This window comes from Homo sapiens, chromosome 6, assembly GCF_000001405.40.
Source record: "Homo sapiens chromosome 6, GRCh38.p14 Primary Assembly".
NCBI lineage: Eukaryota > Metazoa > Chordata > Mammalia > Primates > Hominidae > Homo > Homo sapiens.
The window spans coordinates 53904884-53925034 of NC_000006.12; the positions used below are offsets into that span (position 1 = coordinate 53904884).

The following is a 20151-nucleotide window of genomic DNA, read 5'->3' on the forward strand; positions in this document are numbered from 1 at the left end:
GCAGAGATTTACATTGGGCCATGCTCATGTCTTGGATGAGGTTGAACAAACTGTTCACAAAGGCATACACATAGAGGAAGGTGAATGGGAAGCTAAAGCCAGCTTCCTAGGACTTTTTTTTTGGTTAGTAGTCTAAGCACGAGAAAATGAGACATCACCATCTGTTGTGGAGAGTAGCTGTATGGACTGAGAGGCATTTAAATTCTGGCAAGGGAGGTGGAAATGCTGACAATGAGGAGGAAGCTTATAGTGGGTCAAACAAGGAGGTGTCTAGTGTGTTGTTTAAAAAGAAGGCTTACAATTAGCCAGGCGTGGTGGCGGGCGCCTGTAGTCCCAGCTACTCGGGAGGCTGAGGCAAGAGAATTGCCTGAACCCGGGAGGCTAAGGTTGCAGTGAGCCGAGACCACGCCACTGCACTCCAGCCCGGGTGACAGAGCGAGACTCTATCTCAAAAAAAAAAAAAAAAAAAAAATGAAAAGAGAAAAAGAAGAAGGCTTACTTTCTATTGGGTACTGGAAGTGCTTGGTTGGAGAAGGATAATACTGAGCTTGATTTTTTTTATCAGCAATAAAGCCTAAAACTAGCTGTTGATGAGCCTTCTCCTTTGCTGGGTCCTCATCTGGAAAGGTATGGTATTTCCTTGGATGATATGATCACTGGCTGGGTGTAGTTTGCTTCATATTTCTGTTTTGACTTTTTCTAACGTCTATTTTGGTGTAATTTCAAAGCTGCCTTCCAGCCAGTCAGAACATGTGGCGTTCTTGTTTTCCTAGGGCCACATCTCAGGGTATCTGAACTTCCTCTTTCCTTTCCTCATCTTGGTGTTCGGCCCACAGTGTCCCAGTCTTCTCCCTGGGTAAGGTGGCCAGCATTTCTAAATGGAGACATGAGAATATTTACTATAAACATGATCATATTCTGAAACATCCTTAATATGAACACTGTCATCTAAGTAAACTGTTTCTGGCTGTAAGACTTCAGTCTGTTTCTCAGCAAAACTGGGACTCAACTAAGAGATTCTACTAATTAGAAAAGTTGGCTTCTAGTTTCTAAGCAATAAACCAAAATACAGAACTGATATTCTGAACAGTTGAATTTACTCTTGCTGAATAGTGCTTGCAGATGGATAGTAGATTGGGCATATAAACACACATACAGATGTAGAAAATATTTCTTTCTTTCTTTTTTAATGCCAGGCACTGTACTAGATGCTTTCAAGTATTTGTTGTACTTGTTGAATCCTTACAACAGCTTTTGCAGTCATGATAATTTCTTCATTTTACGAGTGAGGAAACGGAGGCCAGTAAGTAGTTTTTCTTACTAGGGCTCACACAGCTGGGAGTTGGTAGAACCTGACTCCAAAGATGAGTCTCCCAGTAAACACGTGACCACTTATGTAATGCAGGCTCAGCCCAACCTTTCCATCTGTGTGACCTTGAGGTAGGGCAAGCCCCTGATTTGTTAAGGAAAAGCCAAAGTATCTTTAGTTTGGACACTACAGAAAATTAACACATTTTAGGTGTTCTTTCAAGGCAGATCATGAGGAGAGCACTTTTAGGTGTAATGTTAATTCCCAGCAAGTTTCACCACCCATCCCCAGCTTCCCTGATCCCCTGACTCTCTTTCACAAGATTATGTTCTAGACAAGAACCTTGGAAATTTACTTTCATAAAACTTTCACCATCATTTCAGCATCGGTCCTCTTTTTCACTTTAAAAGAATGAAACACACTCAAGAGTTTCTGACTAGAGGGTTATATCTAGTCCATGCTATGTGTTCACTAAATTTACTAGAACAGTTTTTCATGACGTGAAAAGTGAAAATATGAAAGTATTTCTAACTTCAAAGCGTTTTAGTCATATTTTGTCCATTTTCTGAGAAATTATGATTGGTTTTCTGGCTTCTGGCATTTTAGAAAGAAATAGTCTGCGCCTTTCCTTTCAGCTGTCTGATAAAGCAGAGAATGTTTAGGTTTTTAGGAGTTGGATCTTTTCTAGATCACCTCCTACTTACATACACTCAGCTCCCAGCGTAGGAAAATGTGCTGAGCACATGTCTCCAATTCTCCCTCGGATCACAGTTTGCTGCCTAGCAGAAATGGTTGAGTGCTTGCCTCTGACCATCAGGGCTGAGCAGCCAAACCAGCAAGAGCCTCCTGACCTCTCATTGCATCACGTTGGCCCAGGCAGCACTGTCATGTCATGAGTCTCTGTGCAGTGAGTGTGGTAGGCCCTGTGACTGTGTGTATGTTAGCTCTGCCTCCAAGCTTGATGCCATTTGATCAAATCTTGCATTTTCCTGATTGGATTCTTCCAAAAATATATTGCTTTCTCTTGAACAGTTAAGTTGCATACATATCTAAACTGAAATGCTGACCGATTCAATTCATATGCCAAAAATCCATAGTAGTATTAATTGCCATTGGTCTGGTATGCTGTGTAGTTCTTCCTATATTTTTTCCTTTAAAAAAAACAACAACATTTATAGTATTGTGTGTTGCCAGTTTTAGGGCACAGCTCCTTAGTCTGTAGCAGCATTTATTTGCATTTTTTCCCCAAATGGTTGAGGGGAAGATGTTTGTACCATGTGGGTCACAATATGGATTCTGTTTGTGTTTTGTGGTGTTATTTGTAGTAAACATTTGCAAATCAATGAATGTCTTTTGTTTTCTTAATTGTTAGCTGCTTGGAAATTTAGAAAAGTCAGGTAAACTTGTTATCTTGTAAGTATTGTTCAGACCACAGTTGCATCTCTAACTTCCATTCTGCTTCTTAAATGCATGAAGATTCACATTGGCTGACTGCTTTGTGTGCTCTTCATTGTAAAATATTGGACATTTTCTTCTAAATTCATTTTTTTTTTTTTTTTAATGACTGCATGGCCTGGAACCTTACTTTGTTATGTGTTTTTCAAGTTTGTTCAGATTATTCACTCTCAAAAGAATGCTTTTCTGTGAATTACATTTTAAGTTATTCAGAAATCCTGAAAGGCATCATTTGGCAGCTCATCTGTTTTCACTAAATTGTAAGTTTGTCGGCACAAATCTGTCTCTAATGGAAAGGCTAGATTTGCTTTATTTGCTACACCTGGCATGCCTCTGATTTTTCAAGTCACTTATTTGTGTCTTTTATTTTTCATCCTGTTGCTTAAGTATATATACTTCTGGGAAAAGATTTCTTAAAAACTCATAGTGTTGGTGGAGAGGAGAGTTAAGGAACATATTGTGCAGTAGTATGATTGATTCATGGATAGATGGAGTTGGTGGTATATGTGTGAGCATGAGTATGATGAATGAGAGCCAGACCATAAAGAGTTTTTGGCTAGAAGAAATTGAGCTTATATCCAAGTTTAGGGTCCTGTTTTCTTTTTGTCTCCATTAAGTCCAAATGAAAGAGACGCCAACTAAGCCACACTTACCCAGTCAGATGAGGCAACATAGCATTTGCAGATCATTCATCAAAGCTTTTTTCAGTCAGGCAACCTGTAAATATTAATTACCCATAAATATTACTATGATACTCAGAAATGCCTGTGGTGATAGAATATTCATTTTGTGGATAGTTTTTCTGCCTTCTTATTATTGCAATTCAAAATTCTTTCAGTATAAGTTTCCGTTGTATTCTAAAATGAATTATTGATTAAAGACATGATATAGAATATAAAAATATTAGATAAAATATAGTTGACCATCAAATTTCAAGATGGAGAAGTAATTCCTAAACTTGAAATAAGTCATAAAAAATAGTTGATGGATTGTCTACAGGAAAATTCGATTTCTGATCTTCAAGAAGGTAAAAGCAGCCTTTACTTTCTTGAAAGGGGGCAGGGAGACATTTAAGGCATCTTAAATGAGAGATCTGTCTTTACTCTATTAGAAGTTCTTCTACACCAATAAGGAAAAGATGTATTTACTATAGAGAAGTAGACAAAAAGAAACTTCCACAAAAACCAGCAAGTGATTCACACAAGAACAAATAGAAATGGCAACTAATGTGAAACAATTTCAGCCTCATCAGTATTCACAAAAAAATTTAATAATGCCAAATTTTGGCAAGGGTGGAGGGAAATATATATTATCATGTAAATATAAATTATTATGACTTTCTGGAAGGGAATATGATAATAGTAAAAACTTTAGAAATGTGCGTACCCTTTGATTCTGCAATTCCACGTCTAGGAAAACATTTATGGATATACACTAAGAATGATGTACAAGAACATTTCTCACATTATACATGGGAGCAGGCACCATACCAAGTGTCCACAGAGGCAGCTAACATGTGCCAGGCATGGTGCCAAGGGCTTTTGCACTTATTCTTATCTAATTATCACAACAGTTCTATGAGGTATAGGTAAACCATTTTCAATGTCCAACAGATTGTGAAACTAAGACTGAGAGAGGTTAAGTCACTTGTCCAGAGTCACACAGCAAAGAAGTGGCAGACCTAACTAGCATTGTCTAACCTGGGCAGTTTCTTAAATAATCTGTGATACATCCATAGAAGGAAATAACTATGTGGTCCATAAAAGTCCTCTTAGAAGCATTGTTAAAGTGTGTATGTATAATCACAAATGCAAGGCAGTGGTACTGGAAGATTGTACCTCATAATGTTAATACTGATTATCCCTTTGTGGTAAGATTTGATTTTTTTTCATTGTGCTTTCCTGTGCATGTATGTTTAGTTTTTATTTTTCTAATCAATGTAAGGTACTTTTTTATAATCAGAAAAAAAAAAAAGAATTCCGTAGCTATTAGTGGATATTTTGATGTCAGTGGCCTCAGAATTCAGGGAATCCCAAAGCCACACAATTGCCAAAAATATTTATGAAGTAGGGAACATTTGAATAATATGCCATAGATGATGGGATTCTAAAATTATGCTTCATATTATTTTTGTTCAAATTGCGTTTTGGCCAGATTTTACTTATTGTACACTTTTCTTTTTTTGCCAATGGGGTGTGTGTTCAATTATGTTACAAATAATATTAAAAGGAATATACTGAAGGAAAGTGAAAGTTCCCTTATACTTAAGGCAAGCATTTAAAAAATGGAAGATAAACAGACGTGACTAACATAGGCTCCCTTTTTGAATCACTGAATCTGTCTCATGATCTCCTCCTTGGGTGAGCTAACCTGCAGGCAATTAATACCTAGTGAAAGTTGACCTGAGCAGAGGTTTGCTCAATAATCTGCAGAACCTATTTTCTTGAGATGGGTTAAATCAGTGCATAACAGCTAAGGAGAGTATCATTTTGAATTAAGAGAGACACAAAATGGCTGGACAAAGATTCTCAGCTATATTCCATAATTCTCAGAGAATCCAAGTCCAACCCCTTGTATTCTGGGAAGGTGCTATTATGTGGTTTAAGGGAAGCTTAAAAATATCAGCTTCCTACATAACTGGTAATAAGTTATTTAAACAGTGACTCTGCTTCCCAGAACTTCTAAGTGATACATTTTATCCTGATTACCACTGAGAAACCTGTAAACTCTGCCTCCTGAACCCAAAAGAGAAAGCCAAAATATATATGAATGATGTGTATAATGTCAGTCTTCATTATTATTAATACAAAATGTCACTGCGATACATCGTTAGGGAGATGGGTTTTTTAAGACATTCGGGTAAGTTCAGGAAAGAGACTGCCAGCATCAGTACAGTTCTAAGAACATAGTAGGTATTCAGGTGTTGATTGTACTCATCATTTGGATCTGAGGTTTTTATTTCCTGGAAAAAAAAATAGCTACCACATTTATTTGGCAACAGCAAAAGGCCAGTTTCTATGATAGGCGCCAAATTATATATGTGGTTTCATTTAAGTTAATCATTATTGTTACTTTTGGTTAAAGTAACATATCCAAAACCACAAAACATATGACTGAGCCTAAATTCTAGCCCAGGTCTGTATGGTCTCAAAGCATCCGCTCCCTCCATCATACCGCATCTCCCTCTGACGTCTATAATGAACTATATCTTTTCAGTTATGGGTTTGAATGCTTAATAATCTTTTCTAAAAACCAAAGGTTGTGCCATCCCTTCCTGGCTGATTTGGAAAGAGGGCTGTGTTTATGTGAATGTTCGCTGGGACAGCATGTGCCTTTGTGGGGTGATTAAGGCATCCCTAGCACACTCTGCAACAACATGTGCTCTTTGTTGGCATTGTTTTTCATAAACCATAGACAATAGAGATCAGGAGGTCACACTGCCTGCTTTGACAACCCAGAGGGCCTAAGAGGCTCTTGTACGCAATTGCTTTCCACCCCTTGACGTCTCAAATGGGTGTGAGATTAGAGTGGGAAAGGAAAAAGAAAAATGAAACAATAACACACAGTAGACAGCTCACACACTTCATTGAAGTTTACACAATATGTTCCCAAATGATTAATGGATCTTGTCCAGAACATTTATTTAGAGCCTTCTCTGACCCACTTTAATTAATTAATTTTTTTGACTACATAATATATGCATATGATACAAATTGAAAATGTTCACATGGTATAGCAGTAGGGCCCCAAAACAGATATCTTACAGGTTGGTGTGGTGGGAGGGCAGTGGACAGCTTCAAGACAAGATGCCCAGAATTAAAATGCAGTCCCAGCTCTGTATGTCTTCCAGGAGCTGATTATCCCATCCGGACGATCATATGAATGATAATATCTGCTTTGCCCCCCTTGGGTCACACATAAATCCTGTCTCTTCAAAGCTAGATCAGGACGCTAGCGGGGGTCTTCAGCCTCAGCCAACTGCTGACTTGGAAGCTCTCCTTCAGGGCATGCAGCCGTACCTCTGAACCCCAGCCTGACACCGAAGCTCCTCCACCTGGAGCAGGGATGCGGCAAGGGTGCCCCATGGGAACCTAGTCATTCTTTCTCATGAGTAGATCTTTGTCAGGATTGTCTAAATTTATCAGAGACTCTAATAATATTGATCATCAAAAGGATCAGGGTTTTGATTGCTTTCCTTCCATGATATTTCTGGGCACCTAGGTAGAATTGTTGATTCCCTTCCTCAAGGGAGGGAGAATATGCTCAGCCATATGGGAAATCCACACTATATTGGGGCTTGATGTTTCTAAAACCTAAGAAAGGCTACTCTGGTGATTCTTACTGGAACAAAAAAGAGTTTTGTTGTCTCCACTGCTACACATAGAGGCAGATAACTTTTAAGTAGAGGTCTTTCACAAGTAAGTAAATAAAGTGTATAAACATATGTAAATGAGAAATTTAGTGGGCAGAGAGGCTATGCATGGTGGGTAGATAGCGTGAATACTATACTTGCCAAGTACCTTGAGTGTACATAAACATGTGCAAATAAGCTGTAACTCAGGTAAATGATCTTAGGGTTCTTCATGTGGTATTTTGTGCTGTCAGAGGGTTAGACCGTAATTATGAAATGCGTGTTATTATATGGACCAAAGCGTTCTGTGAAGACTCAATGGAGGAATAGACGATGTTTAGCTAATTTTGGATCATTGGTAAGATTTAAAAAGGCATTTCTATAAAAAACAATGGGATCAAAAATATAAAAATGTATTTAGGGTATAATGACTAGACCATTTTTGCTGGGATGAGAAATATGTGAATGCGGAGACTAAAGGGAGTAATCTAAAAGCCTTTCTACATATCTGGGTGCTTTCCACATGACCAGAGACAAATGTTAGTCTACATTTACTTATATATTTATTTTTCTTTTATATACATTATGGTTAAATATTGTGGTTCAATACATTATTTTGAAATCTTTATATTTTTAAGGGAGGAAATAAAAAGATTATGTATGAAAGTAATTATGTAGCCATTCACAAAAATATGCATTCTGCTTTTGAAGATATTTTATACATATATTAAACACATGTATAAATAGAAAAGGGCAGAAGATATATTCAGATATCATTGACCATTCAAGTCTTGTGCTCTTTCACAAGTGGGAGGCTCTGGAGTAGTATTTTTCCATGTGTTGGAGAGACATCAATAGGTTCCTTCATGAGCCTTTTCTAGCAATTGCCCTTAGTCAGGAGAGTGAGTACAAGAAGAATGTAGTACTTTATGGAGTCCTGCAGAATGTTGTGTCTGGGATCAAGCTATTTTTCTGCCCTCTTGATTCAGTTTTCCTGACTGTAAAAACCACCGCCAATTTGTTCAAGAGAATCATTGGATTTTTTTGTGTGTTTATGTTCCTTTTTGAAGACCAGACTCATACAAAACTCAGTTACCTTTAAATTGCTTACTTTAAAAAAATGGTAATCAAATTTGGTGTGGATGGAGGTGTTGATTTGTGTGCTTTTATGAGCAGGCTGCAGCTGAAGAAATGGATGTATGGATTTACTCAGTTCACTTTCTGTGAAGATACTGTTGATTTTACATTCATCAAAAAAAGTGGATTTACCACATTAATTTGTGAATGACCAAAAGCTATTAAAAGATGTATGGTGGAAATTAATGTACTGTATCATCTGTAAGATACCCCTCTTTTTGAAAAAAAAAAACCAAAAAACAAAAAACTGGAACACCAAGAATGCTGAAGTTAATATAATGGGCAAGTCTTGAATTATGTGTGTATCAGTATCACCTTTGGCCTAACTTTTGAAAATAGGATTGTTAAACTCACATATTACCACATAGTATTTTTCTGGATTGTATAGTTTGGTTAACATTTAACAGATGCAGTTGCGTTAGATATCAGCAGTGGAAAATGATTTCTTCTTTAGAATAAAATTTTTTAACTGTATCATTGATTTTCTTGATTTAATTTAGAACATGTACATCTAACATTTTGCAGAGATTTTTATGAACATATGGGGCTGCGTTTTGTAAGATTTAAATTAATGATTGTTGGTCATCAGTGAGACCGGTGAGTTATGTGGTATAAGTTTATGCATCCTTTTTATACTGTTTGGTAAACAAGGTACTCTGATCCTACTCCATCTCCCCTAGAAAACTGGAAAAAAGATGTATTTTCTTTCTCACCATAGATCGGCGGGTGCTGCAGCCTCACTGTGTTCTGTGTACGTGACAACAGACTAACTCGGATACCTGCAGAGGTGTCACAGGCAACAGAACTTCATGTCCTGGATGTGGCAGGGAACAGGTAAGCCTGTTGTAGTTTGCTTTGCTTGAGGGAAACAAATATACATACATCCCAATCTTGGCAGTGCATCTTCAAATTTTTGTCTTTGCTTTATCTTACAGAATATAATCCTGATTTTTCAAATGACCTAGGCCTCAGGGAGTTCCTTCATAGGGGGGCTAGAGTGCTTGAGCCCAATGGAGCAGAGAAGGTCAGGGAAAACCTGAGCATGGGTTAAAGTGTCAGTGGACACTTTCGTAGAAATGCTTCCCAGAATGACAGTACAGTGATGCCAGGGAAAGAGCACTGACCTGAGAATGGGGAGACTTGGGTTGTGACTTAGCTCTTCTAAGTAGCTTTTGTAAATCATCATGGGCTTCAGAGTTTCCTCACCTGCAAAGTGAGTGCAAATGAGTTTGAACTCAGTTTTAACCAGGGGACCTTGATATACTCTGCTGGTGACTCTGAACCCCCTGAAAATACAAACAGAATTGTGTATTTAGGGAAGTGTTTACAGCTAATGTCAGAATCTCCAAATGATTCATAATACAAAAAAAGTTCAGAGCCGCCAGACTAGTATCCCCAAGGTCACAGCATCACCATTTCTCAAGTTCCGGAGCAGAGGTCATGTTGGACTGAGTGCCATTTTCTAAAATATGCCTGTTCATCATCTTTGTGGAACACATTTGTTTCCATCATTCTGAGCTAATTTCAGCACCCTAAATGTCATATGCGCCTTCTCTGTGAACAGAAACAGGCTATTCTTTCTTTTGGGGACCCTCTTCTCTGGCTCCTTGGCTCTCTTCTTCATCACTCAAGCTTTATTTTCTCCAGGGAGCCTCCTTTCTGAATCTGCATTTGGGGAATTTCCCCTGCCATGGCAGTCACAGTACCATATGAGAATTGCCTGTTTTCATATGGGTAACCCTACTAAGCCTGAAGTTACCTAAAGTTAGATATTCTTCTGATTTATGTGTCATTGTGTCACTTGTCCCATCAGAGTGCCTGGCACATAATGGATGCCTGGTAAATATTTTCAGTGGAACAAAAATGTTAATAGTTTTACAGGATGAATAGCAGCCCACTGCAGAATGTCTTATATCATAGGCTTCCTTGCCAAAAGGAATTAAAAATTGCTTTTGAGTGTGATGTGGTTAGAGAGGAGAAAAAGGTTCAACTGCTTGGGGGAAGATTATCAATGATCTTAAATGGTAAAGGCCAGCAGTCTAAAGAGTGTTTGGGAGGCTGTCTCCTGAGTGTTGATTAGCTGGTCATTTTGGTCAGGCACGGGTCACCATTTTTTACTCTTGCTAATGGATTATAGACAGCAGGGCTAAATAAACAGCAGTTCTCAGCTGGAATCTAGAGGTGAGTTATAGCCTCAGGGAATGCTCACCTTTTTAGAGTTAATGCTTTCAGGACATCTTGATAGATTCTTAAGACCACTAACTGGTTGCCGGAAACCCAGGATTAAATTGAGTTGAACCTCGGATTTCTGCTGAACTAAGCAGAACTAAGGCATGAGCCTTTACAGCTTGAGAAGGGTACTTCTTTCCTGATCTTTATCCTCTAGCAATAGCAACTCAATGAGTCAACATTTGCTGGTTCTTGCCACACTACTGAGCATGAATTTGCCTCAATTCTTGAGCCGAAAGATGGCTGTGATGCCGAAAAACTGTTTTTACATGAATGAAGGCCCATTTCTCCAGTTCTCAGAAAAAGAGAAAGTTAAATTTTTATTATGCTTGGGCTGGGATGGAGAAAACCCAATTAAAAAGTCGAGTTACATAGCTGTCATTTGAGTCAGTTAAGTGTGTCATTTAGTCCATGCATACATATATAGATTCATAACCAAATGTTAAGCCTATTAAAATATTTAATCACTACTTATTAAAAGTATCAGTATAGAAACTAATCTTTTAAAAAGGGCTACCTTGTCAGCCTTTTAGCTTGCAGAAACGTCATACCATGGGAAATCATACTAAATCATTAAATACAATAGAAGCTTCCGCCTCTTCTTTCAAGTATATGAAAATAACACATGGCAGCAGGAAACCTACACTGTGAGTTTCTAGAAACTTTCTTTGCAGTTTGGTAGGATAAATTATAGCAAGGATGACTATAACCTGTCACTTGGAAACTAAGTATTAAACCTTCTGTGACAGTAAAGAAAATGTCTTATATCATCAGTTACTCAGGCACAGAACACAAAATTCCTTAATACTTAGACTCTCTCCCATAGGAATATCCACCAAGTGTGCAAAACTGGGCATTTGAGGATCTTCCTTACTTGCAGTGTTAGTAGTACTGAATATTAGAATCAATGGTTGTCAATTGGGAAATAGGAAATAGCTTATACTTTTGAATTTTGTACTTTGTATGTATCTATTACCCAATCCAAATAATTAAAAATATTAAAAGACAAACAACAGCATACTGTTGTGGAATACTAAGCAGTCAAAGAATGAGATATTTCTCTGTGCAGTGACACAGAAAGAGACCCAAGATACTGAGTGAAAAGGGAAAGTGTTGAACAGTATATAGAGCTCTCATTTTGGTGGGGTTTTTTTCCTTAAAAAAGAAAAAAAAATCACTTATTTGTGCATTATACCCAAATACTAATAGTAGTTCCCCTAGATGAGACTTGAGGGTACAGGGAGTTTTCACTTTAGATATTTTAGTATTGTTTAATTTTTTGCCAGTTATGTTCCCAATTTATATATATTTTTAAATATTTTTGAAAACTTTGCTTAAAACTAAAAATTCTAGTAGAAAGTAGCAGAAAGATGAAACTACATTGTAAGGCGTATTCAGTCACTGGTGAAGTTAATATTAATCAGTAGGCCATGCTTAGATATTAAATTTGAGAAAGCAGTTGCTATAGTAGTTCACAGACATGGAAGGTCACTTGGGGCTGGGTTGGTCATGGACATAACTGGAGACAAGAGGCTTACAGTTTGGTTATTCATTTGCTTTAGTTCTTGTACCATTGGTGTGAATAGTAACCACAAGTTTTTTATTTCTGGGGGCATGTGGTCCTAAATAGAACACAGAGATGCCTGCGGGCTGTGGTTTCTTGTGCGTTGATTCTGTTTATTCTGTAGTGTACAGAAGGTACCAGAATAAACCAAAAATGTATTATTAGCTCCTTTGGAAAGCAGGAATGTATTTCTCATCATTTTCTGACTTGTAGCTGGGATGGTTTACCCAAGAGAGACAGAAAAGCATGTGTATGTCTTTTTTTCCCCAGGCTGTAGTGAGTTAGAGGATCAGCCAGCCTGCAGAATCTCTGTGGGCAGACTGTTCAGGGAACAGTGCCTTTTTTTCTCTTGGACACCACTGGCAACACTTCTGTCCGCAAGACAGTGGGCAGCTCATGTGTGGTGTGGACTCAGTCAGCAGCAGCCACATTCAAGTTGGCACTTTGATTCTTTGAAGCAAAACTGGTGTTTCAGGCAACTCATTAATTTGAGTTGAAATATGTTGATAAGATTTGTTGTTGTAGAGTCTAATAATTTATTTAGCTTTTGTCATATGGCTTGTCATCCTTAGAAGCTGTGATTTATTAATATTATTGATGCTCTTTTTAGCCTCTTATTTATACTTTTGCTTTAACATTCAGGTGGCTTCTAGTCTGAGAAGTTACAGTGACCACGTTTGAGTATCTGTGTTTTGTGCCAGTTTTCAAGTCTTGATTTTCTTCTTTCTGTTCTCATGAGTAAGACAGGTAGAGATGTTGACTGTAAGTGTCTTGCCCAAGACTTGAAACTTTAAACATTCTAGTGGATGTTAGCTTGCTTCCTCTTTTAAAAGATGTAGGAGAAAAATTTAAAAGAAATTACATTTGTGTTCAATAAAATGAAAAAGTTTGATGTACTTGAAGCTTTAACAGTGTATAATGCCTATTTAAGAAAATCCTTGTCACAGTACCTGGCAAATACATGTTTTTAACTTCCTCGCATTTGAGTTTACATGTATGCAACATTCTTTGGATAGAAAGAGAAAGAATTTTTGTATAAGCACAAGGTATTTCAGTTCTGTCCCTTAAAGAACAAATATCCCAGAGGAAAAAGAAATGGAATTGTGAATCTGCTGTTCCCTGAGGTTCCCTCAGGTGTCCTTCTCTAGCTGTGAGCACATGGTGGCACTGGGTGGATTCTAGGATTTAAAAATATGTATTTCTCACCTAATATTGCTCTCATTAGTGAAATCTTATAATGTACAATTCATAGTCTTTTCAAGGGTACTTTAACATAAGCAGTTCTCGTGGATGCACTGGCTTAAGAACCTCACTCCCACTTAAGTTACAGTTTCACAGTACTTCCTCAGTACTGCACCCAATACATATGCATGAGATGGACTCAGGCTTTACTGGACTAATTGTTAAGGAAAAGAAAATATTTTCTCATCTTTGAAACTAACACAGAAATCTTTTGCAAAATGTATTGTTACTGTAAAAAGTTTGTTAATAATGCATTTGTTGTTAATACTGTCCATGCACTCTTTGATTTTTTTTACTTCTTTTATTAAAGTAATTTAACCAGTTTATGCCTACCATTTACTCTGATTAGTTTTGTGTTGTTGGAATACAGCTTCTTTTCATATCTTTAGAGAGTTCTAGTTTATTTCCTGTAAGTTCTGTCAATTGAAATGCTGTGTGTGTCTGATAATTCACTATTACTTTTGGTAAGATGTATAAGTAGATTTCCTGCTAATGTTAACTGGAGATAGGTGTACATATGATTTCTGGCAGTGGTCTTTACTAAATAGATTCTACTGATTGCAGCCAATCTGTGAAATCTTTGTGCAAACATAAATATAAAACTAATATTTAGGTGTCACATTATAACATTTAAAGTACTTTCATTTATACTACCTCATTTGAAACTGAAATAATCTGATATAGATATTAATTGTCACCTAGGACTCTGAGAAGTGAGAGCTTCTAGAAACTGAGAGATAAAGGTTTAGAAGGGAATAACTGAAATAATCTCCCTAGAGAAAGCAAATGGAGTCCATCCAAAATGGTGTTTAATCTTTATTTTGGCTGCAACTTAAATGCTTTGACACCGCAGGCACCTCCTTCCTCTTGGCCTGATTCATCAGGTGCTCCTGGAAACAGGTAATCCTGCAGCTTCACACCAGCCCTGTCAGTGAGGCTGTGGCCATCAGAGGTAAAGAACTCCTCCTTCTGGGTCCTTCCAAAATCACCTTGACTTTCTCTCTTTACATTGAAACCTAGTACAAGACCATAAAAATGTGTCCTGTAATTTTCTCTCTCTTTTTTTTTTTTTTTTTTTTTTTTTTGCTCTGTAATCTGGAGGTTCTAATGGGAGAAGTGAGAGCAGAAAAGGGAAGCACAGGAACCTACTGAGGAATCCACTTGCAAAGAGTATGTTGCGTCTTAAAAACATAACACCGTTTTTACATTTTGAAACCAATCTCAGGAAGCTCCTTTTAATTTTTCCTCATTTTGTTGATAGGGATTGATTTGATTACAAAATTTGAGGTTGTGATGTCTCTTTTTTTAAAAAAAAAAAAAAAAACAGGTTGCTGCATCTACCTTTATCCCTGACTGCCTTGAAGTTGAAGGCTCTGTGGCTATCTGACAACCAGTCCCAGCCCCTGCTTACATTCCAGACAGACACAGACTACACCACAGGAGAGAAGATTTTAACCTGTGTCTTACTTCCTCAGCTGCCTTCTGAACCTACTTGTCAAGGTGAATTTAATTTAAGGACAGTATTCACAGGGCCACGAGATTGAGTAGGACCTAATGTCTGTCCATAAGGCCTCTTACTCCCTCATGTGATTGTGTTATATCCAGTCTGCACCTAGAGCCAGCTCAGGTGAGGCCACTGTGGGACTCTTCCGGGAAGGTTACCCTACATCCTTGCAGAAGAAGGGCCACTCCTATCTATTTATCATGTTTGAAATTCCATAAGCAGTTTTTTGGTTTTGAATTATAGCTAAGGCTGAAAATACAATACTTCTAGAAGTGGTAACAGAGTCTCTTAAAATCCAAACTGATAGTTCAGAGGATTAGTATTAACACCACTGGCATACTGTTTTTAAGCCATTGAATTATTTTGAGTCATTGTATCTTTGTTTTGTAAATTGTGTGGTTAAACAAAAAATTCACAGTAACAGCAAAATGCTATTATAAACCCTTTGCTGAGAGCTGGGTTTGGTGGAGGAGAACCGGAGTGTCCTGGGGGAATGGGAGCCCAAGTGGGAGGACTTTAAGACCCTAGAGAAAAACGTGGTGGAGTGTGTTACTGAGGAAAGTACTAGTGTCCATCATGTGCAGCCACATCACTGTCAGAACAGTTTTGAAGTTGTATAAAATAAGCATTTTAAAAGGGACTCTAAATTATGACATTCTGTGATGAAATAGTAAACATATTAATTTAGCAGATATTTTATATGATCTCAAATAGAATTATACATCATTAAAAAAGAAGGGGCAACCTTGTCCCAGGCCTTTTTCTTTTTGTTTTTGAATTTTGTGTGTGTTTGTGTTTTAAAGCCAAACTTGCAACAGAACACCCCCCTTATTTCTGGTGTTCTACCCCTGGTCCTCCGTATAGATTCTACCTTGTCAGCCGCAAAGTTCATAGCATTTACTGATCACATGAAACGCAATTCCCTGCTTATGTGGTCTTTGTCACTGCAGAGAATCTGCCTCGCTGTGGTGCACTGGAGAACTTGGTAAATGATGTCTCTGATGAAGCCTGGAACGAGCGTGCTGTCAACAGAGTCAGTGCGATCCGATTTGTGGAGGATGAGAAAGATGAAGAAGACAATGAGACGGTATGGAAATGCAGATTCTTTGCCTCTGTGGAAGTTCAAAATTAAAAGATTAGAATGGCACCTAATAAGGATATTCTTTATTTTCAATTAGTATGTTCTCTGCTTTGCCTTCAGCATTTAGGAATTTTTTTAGAAGACAAAGATAGGTAATTCTAGGTACTCACTCACAAAAGGTAAATGAGGCAAATGGAACTCATGGGTTTTTTTTTTTCTTCTTCTTTTTTGAGACAGAGTCTCCCTCTATCACCCAGGCTGGAGTGCAGTGGAGTGATCTCAGCTCACTGCAACCTCGACCTTCTGGATTCAAGCCATCCCCCGACCTCAGCCTCTCAAGTAGCTGGGACTGCAGGCACCTGCCACCATGACCGGCTAATTTTTGTATTTTTTGTAGAGATGACGTTTCACCATGTTGTCCAGGCTGGTCTACAGTTCCTGGACTCAAGTGACCTACCTGCCTCAGCCTCCCAAAGTGCTGGGACTACAGGCATGAGCCACTGTGCCCGGCCTGTTATTGTTGTGTTGTCCTGCTTTTATGGTGCTTCTTTTTCTTTATTTGTAATAGTTTCCCCTCCCACTCCCACTGTTTTCTTAACATGGAGAAACTTTTTTTTTAATTGTTCCCAGTGAATGCTGTCTCTTCCCATGTTGACTCCATTCACTTGCCATGAATTGACTTAGTGCCAGACCTCTGTGCCTTCTTCATGTAACCAGCTCACCTTAGCCTTCTTGTAGAGGGCTTATGATCTTAGTTGGATTAGTTAACAAGTTTTTGTTCAGAAATTGGAAAATACTAGTCACCATTACTTTCATCTGTACTTGAAAATTTCGTCTCTCAGACATCCATCATCTCTAGGTGTTGGTGACAAGGCTTGACATCTTTCTAGCAGTTGACTTTGGCTTCTTAAATTCCTTGAACTAATTGAGAGTTTTCTTAAGCAGAGCTTAGAGGGAGTACTTGCAGCCCCCAAAACAAAGGCAGTTTTTAAATTATTGCCTATAGTCTTTGTTATTCCAGCTGTCACCAAATGGGATTTTAGGCATTTACAATCGTAAAGGGCAAAACGCAAATTAGGGATGACAAAATCACTCACTGTGGATGACTCTTTAATGCTTACCTCAAGACTTCTTAGAGTGTGATTATCACCAGTGACTTCATTGCCTCTTCCAGTATTTTGTTAACCTAGTTTGGTTCCCCCTAAAGCTCTTGGATAGGCCATTTAAAAGATGTACATGCTGTTTTATGAGCTAAAGATCATGTAACATATTAAATAATATTTTAAAAATTACTCATACCCTGTTACTTAACTTCCAGTCTTAATTAGAAGAGTGTGAACTTTCATCAGTAGGTCATAGAAATAGTACACACAGCAGCAAAATAAGAAAAAGTATACTTCCCTCTTGATTTCCTTTTTCTCCCATGCCTCCCATGCCTCATTCTGGGTTGAAGGAAGCCAGAATCGCTTTGGGTAATAGTAGAACATTATAGTGACTTTAATTTAGGATTTTTTATTTACTCTTTTATCTTTTTCTTTCCCCACACCCTGTAATTATATCCTAAATTTTAAAATAAATGTTCTTGCTGTTTATGGAGCCTTTTTATTTTATAGTAATTTCATATTTTTATAAGTATTCTTTTATTCTGAAAGTAATCCTTCTATAGTAACTAGGTAAGTTACATGGAACACTTTCCCTTTTCCTTAACTACCAGTGGGCAGTTGATGAATGCACATACATCCAAAGAAAGCTTTTCCACCCATTTTAAGAATTTCTAAGAAGGTAACATTTGTATTGGAATGCTAATGCCTTGAAGCTGCATGTTTTGAAAAAAGTAGTGGAATAAAACCAAAACACTCACTCCACTGTTTGTTTTTAGAGAACACTTCTAAGGCGAGCCACTCCACACCCAGGGGAGTTAAAGCACATGAAAAAGACAGTGGAGAATTTACGGAATGACATGAATGCTGCTAAAGGACTGGACTCAAACAAAAACGAGGTCAATCATGCCATTGACCGAGTGACCACTTCTGTGTAGAGTTTCACCTCCAAGTTTTACCTCCTGTGTCTTCCTCTGCTGTCGAGACGTTCCTGTCTGCTTCCCGGGAGCCTCACGTGCTCCTTGTCCTAACCAGCCCCCGCGCGCCATCTTCCCGTGGAGTGTGGGGAAGCTGCTGTCTCCCAGGAAGTGCCTTACTCATCCCGCAACCAGTCAGCGCACCAGTGGTCTCCCGGTGTGATTTTTTTTTTTTTTAATTTCAGTTGTTTGTAATAAGTAGAATACACTACTGTAAACATACGACCTTTGTTTTTGTCTTATGTTGGGGTAAAGGAAAGCAGGAAGGGGAATTTTTATCCTCCTCCCTTCCGTAAAGTGCTGGGATATTTTGAATCCCCCAAGTTCCCTTGGACCTACTGATGAGAGATAGTTTTATGTATGGGGAAAAATGGATACTTTTTAAACCTTTTTTGGCAGCTCAGATGGTGTAAATTTTAAAATTTTGTATAGGTATTTCATAACAAAAATATGTATTTCTTTTTTGTTATTTTATCTTGAAAACGGTACATATTTTAGTATTTGTGCAGAAAAACAAGTCCTAAAGTATTTGTTTTTATTTGTACCATCCACTTGTGCCTTACTGTATCCTGTGTCATGTCCAATCAGTTGTAAACAATGGCATCTTTGAACAGTGTGATGAGAATAGGAATGTGGTGTTTTAAAGCAGTGTTGCATTTTAATCAGTAATCTACCTGGTGGATTTGTTTTTAACCAAAAAGATGAATTATCAATGATTTGTAATTATATCAGTTGATTTTTTTTGAAAAGATGAACCAAAGGATTTGACTGCTAATATTTTATTCCTTACACTTTTTTTCTGAATAAGTCTCTCATAATGAGTGCAGTGTCAGACTGTGCCTACTCTGATGGTATGTGCCATTTGTAAAATAAAATAGAGCAGAAAAACACAAAAAGAGAACACTGGTTCAGACATTCAGTGGGCAAGTAAATTATGGACTGCAAAATAATGATTTTTATTCAAGAAAGCTTTAAAAGTTTTATATCCAGATATACAACCACAATAAAGCAAAATAACCTACTATCAAAATAGAAATGTTGCTATCTTTATAAGTGCAATTTAATTTGTAAATAGAGTTTGAATCAAAGTATCACAAAATACTGCTTCAAGATTTAATTTTAAATCTGCTAATTTAAGGGATATTGGGAAAAGTTTTGGTGTGTTTCTGTTGATTTCTTTTTTGTATGCTGTGATAAAAGAGAAATGAAAAGTGCCAGTCACTGTGTGGTGTCTAGGAAAATCATATATATTTTTTTCTCCAAGAAATAAATTCATCCTGGACATTGGCCATACAGCTTTTTAAAATTATTACTTTGTATGTTCAAGTGATAGCAGGTAGCCAAATTCTTTGACAGTGTGCTCTGGTCTGTTAAATATCTAAATTACCCGTCAGTTGTGAGTGACCTCCTGTGGGACTTGCATTCACATGGGGCAGAGCCCAGAATTGCCTTTGACTCTGGCTAGTAATTTTGGGTTGTGGCTATCTGGCCAATTGGACTCCTTATAAACCCGTCTTCAACCAACCAAATACAATACTTTTTTTTACTTCTATACATTTACTTATTGGGTTCACTTAGCTTTTTAGTCTGTGTGTATGTAAATATGTGTGTATTTTAAAAACTATTTATGGAGCTGAAAGTACATAACACATAAGTGAGTTTCGGCTGGTCAGTTTTATACCTTGTTCCCTAATCTGTGCATACCAATTTTCTTTTCTCTGTTTTAAGATTTTTGACATCCTCTATTTTGTTTTAAGCTTATAAAGATAATGCCACTATCTCATGGGCTGATTATATATAAGCAAATTGGTTTTATTTAATGAGAATTGTCTTGACGTGGAAGAACAAGTAGAACTTGCATGGCGTGTTTTGTTTGTTTTTATATAAAGCCCATCCTTTACTACTCAGTTCATCATGGCTTTTCTGGACTGGAGGTGGACAGAATGGTGTGTGTGTGCTTAAATTTTCCTAGGAAATGTCATGCACCTAGTTTATTTCCTTTGGCCTATCTCCTTTAGTTCATGTTCACTTAGTTTGCTTTTTGTTTTCAGTTTGGGGGATTTTGTTTGTTTCCCCGCTTCCTTTGAGAGGGAAATGTCGCTTTCATCTGAATGTTTTACGCTGGTGACACTGCAGTGCTCTTGAACTTCAGGGTGCTGGAACCAAACTCAAGCTTCACAGTGGAAACAGCACCAGCCAGAC

At 37.7% G+C, this 20151-nt stretch overlaps 1 protein-coding gene across 5 annotated transcripts in view; it reads left to right on the forward strand.

Moving 5' to 3' along the window:
- Positions 1-19242, forward strand: part of LRRC1 (leucine rich repeat containing 1) — a 129121-nt gene extending 109879 nt beyond the window's left edge. For 2 of the 5 annotated variants that reach the window (NM_018214.5, XM_011514727.3), the window contains 4 exons: positions 8971-9086; positions 14615-14787; positions 15742-15878; positions 17752-19242. In NM_018214.5, the coding sequence (NP_060684.4) occupies positions 8971-9086; positions 14615-14787; positions 15742-15878; positions 17752-17910 (585 nt within the window). In that variant the 3' untranslated portion in view covers positions 17911-19242. Of the gene's footprint in view, positions 1-565; positions 7215-8970; positions 9087-14388; positions 14458-14614; positions 14788-15741; positions 15879-17751 lie in introns of those variants that run through there. The other 3 variants (XR_007059279.1, XR_001743505.2, XM_017010997.2) reach the window with 3 other exon arrangements.
- Positions 19243-20151: the final 909 nt, after the last annotated feature.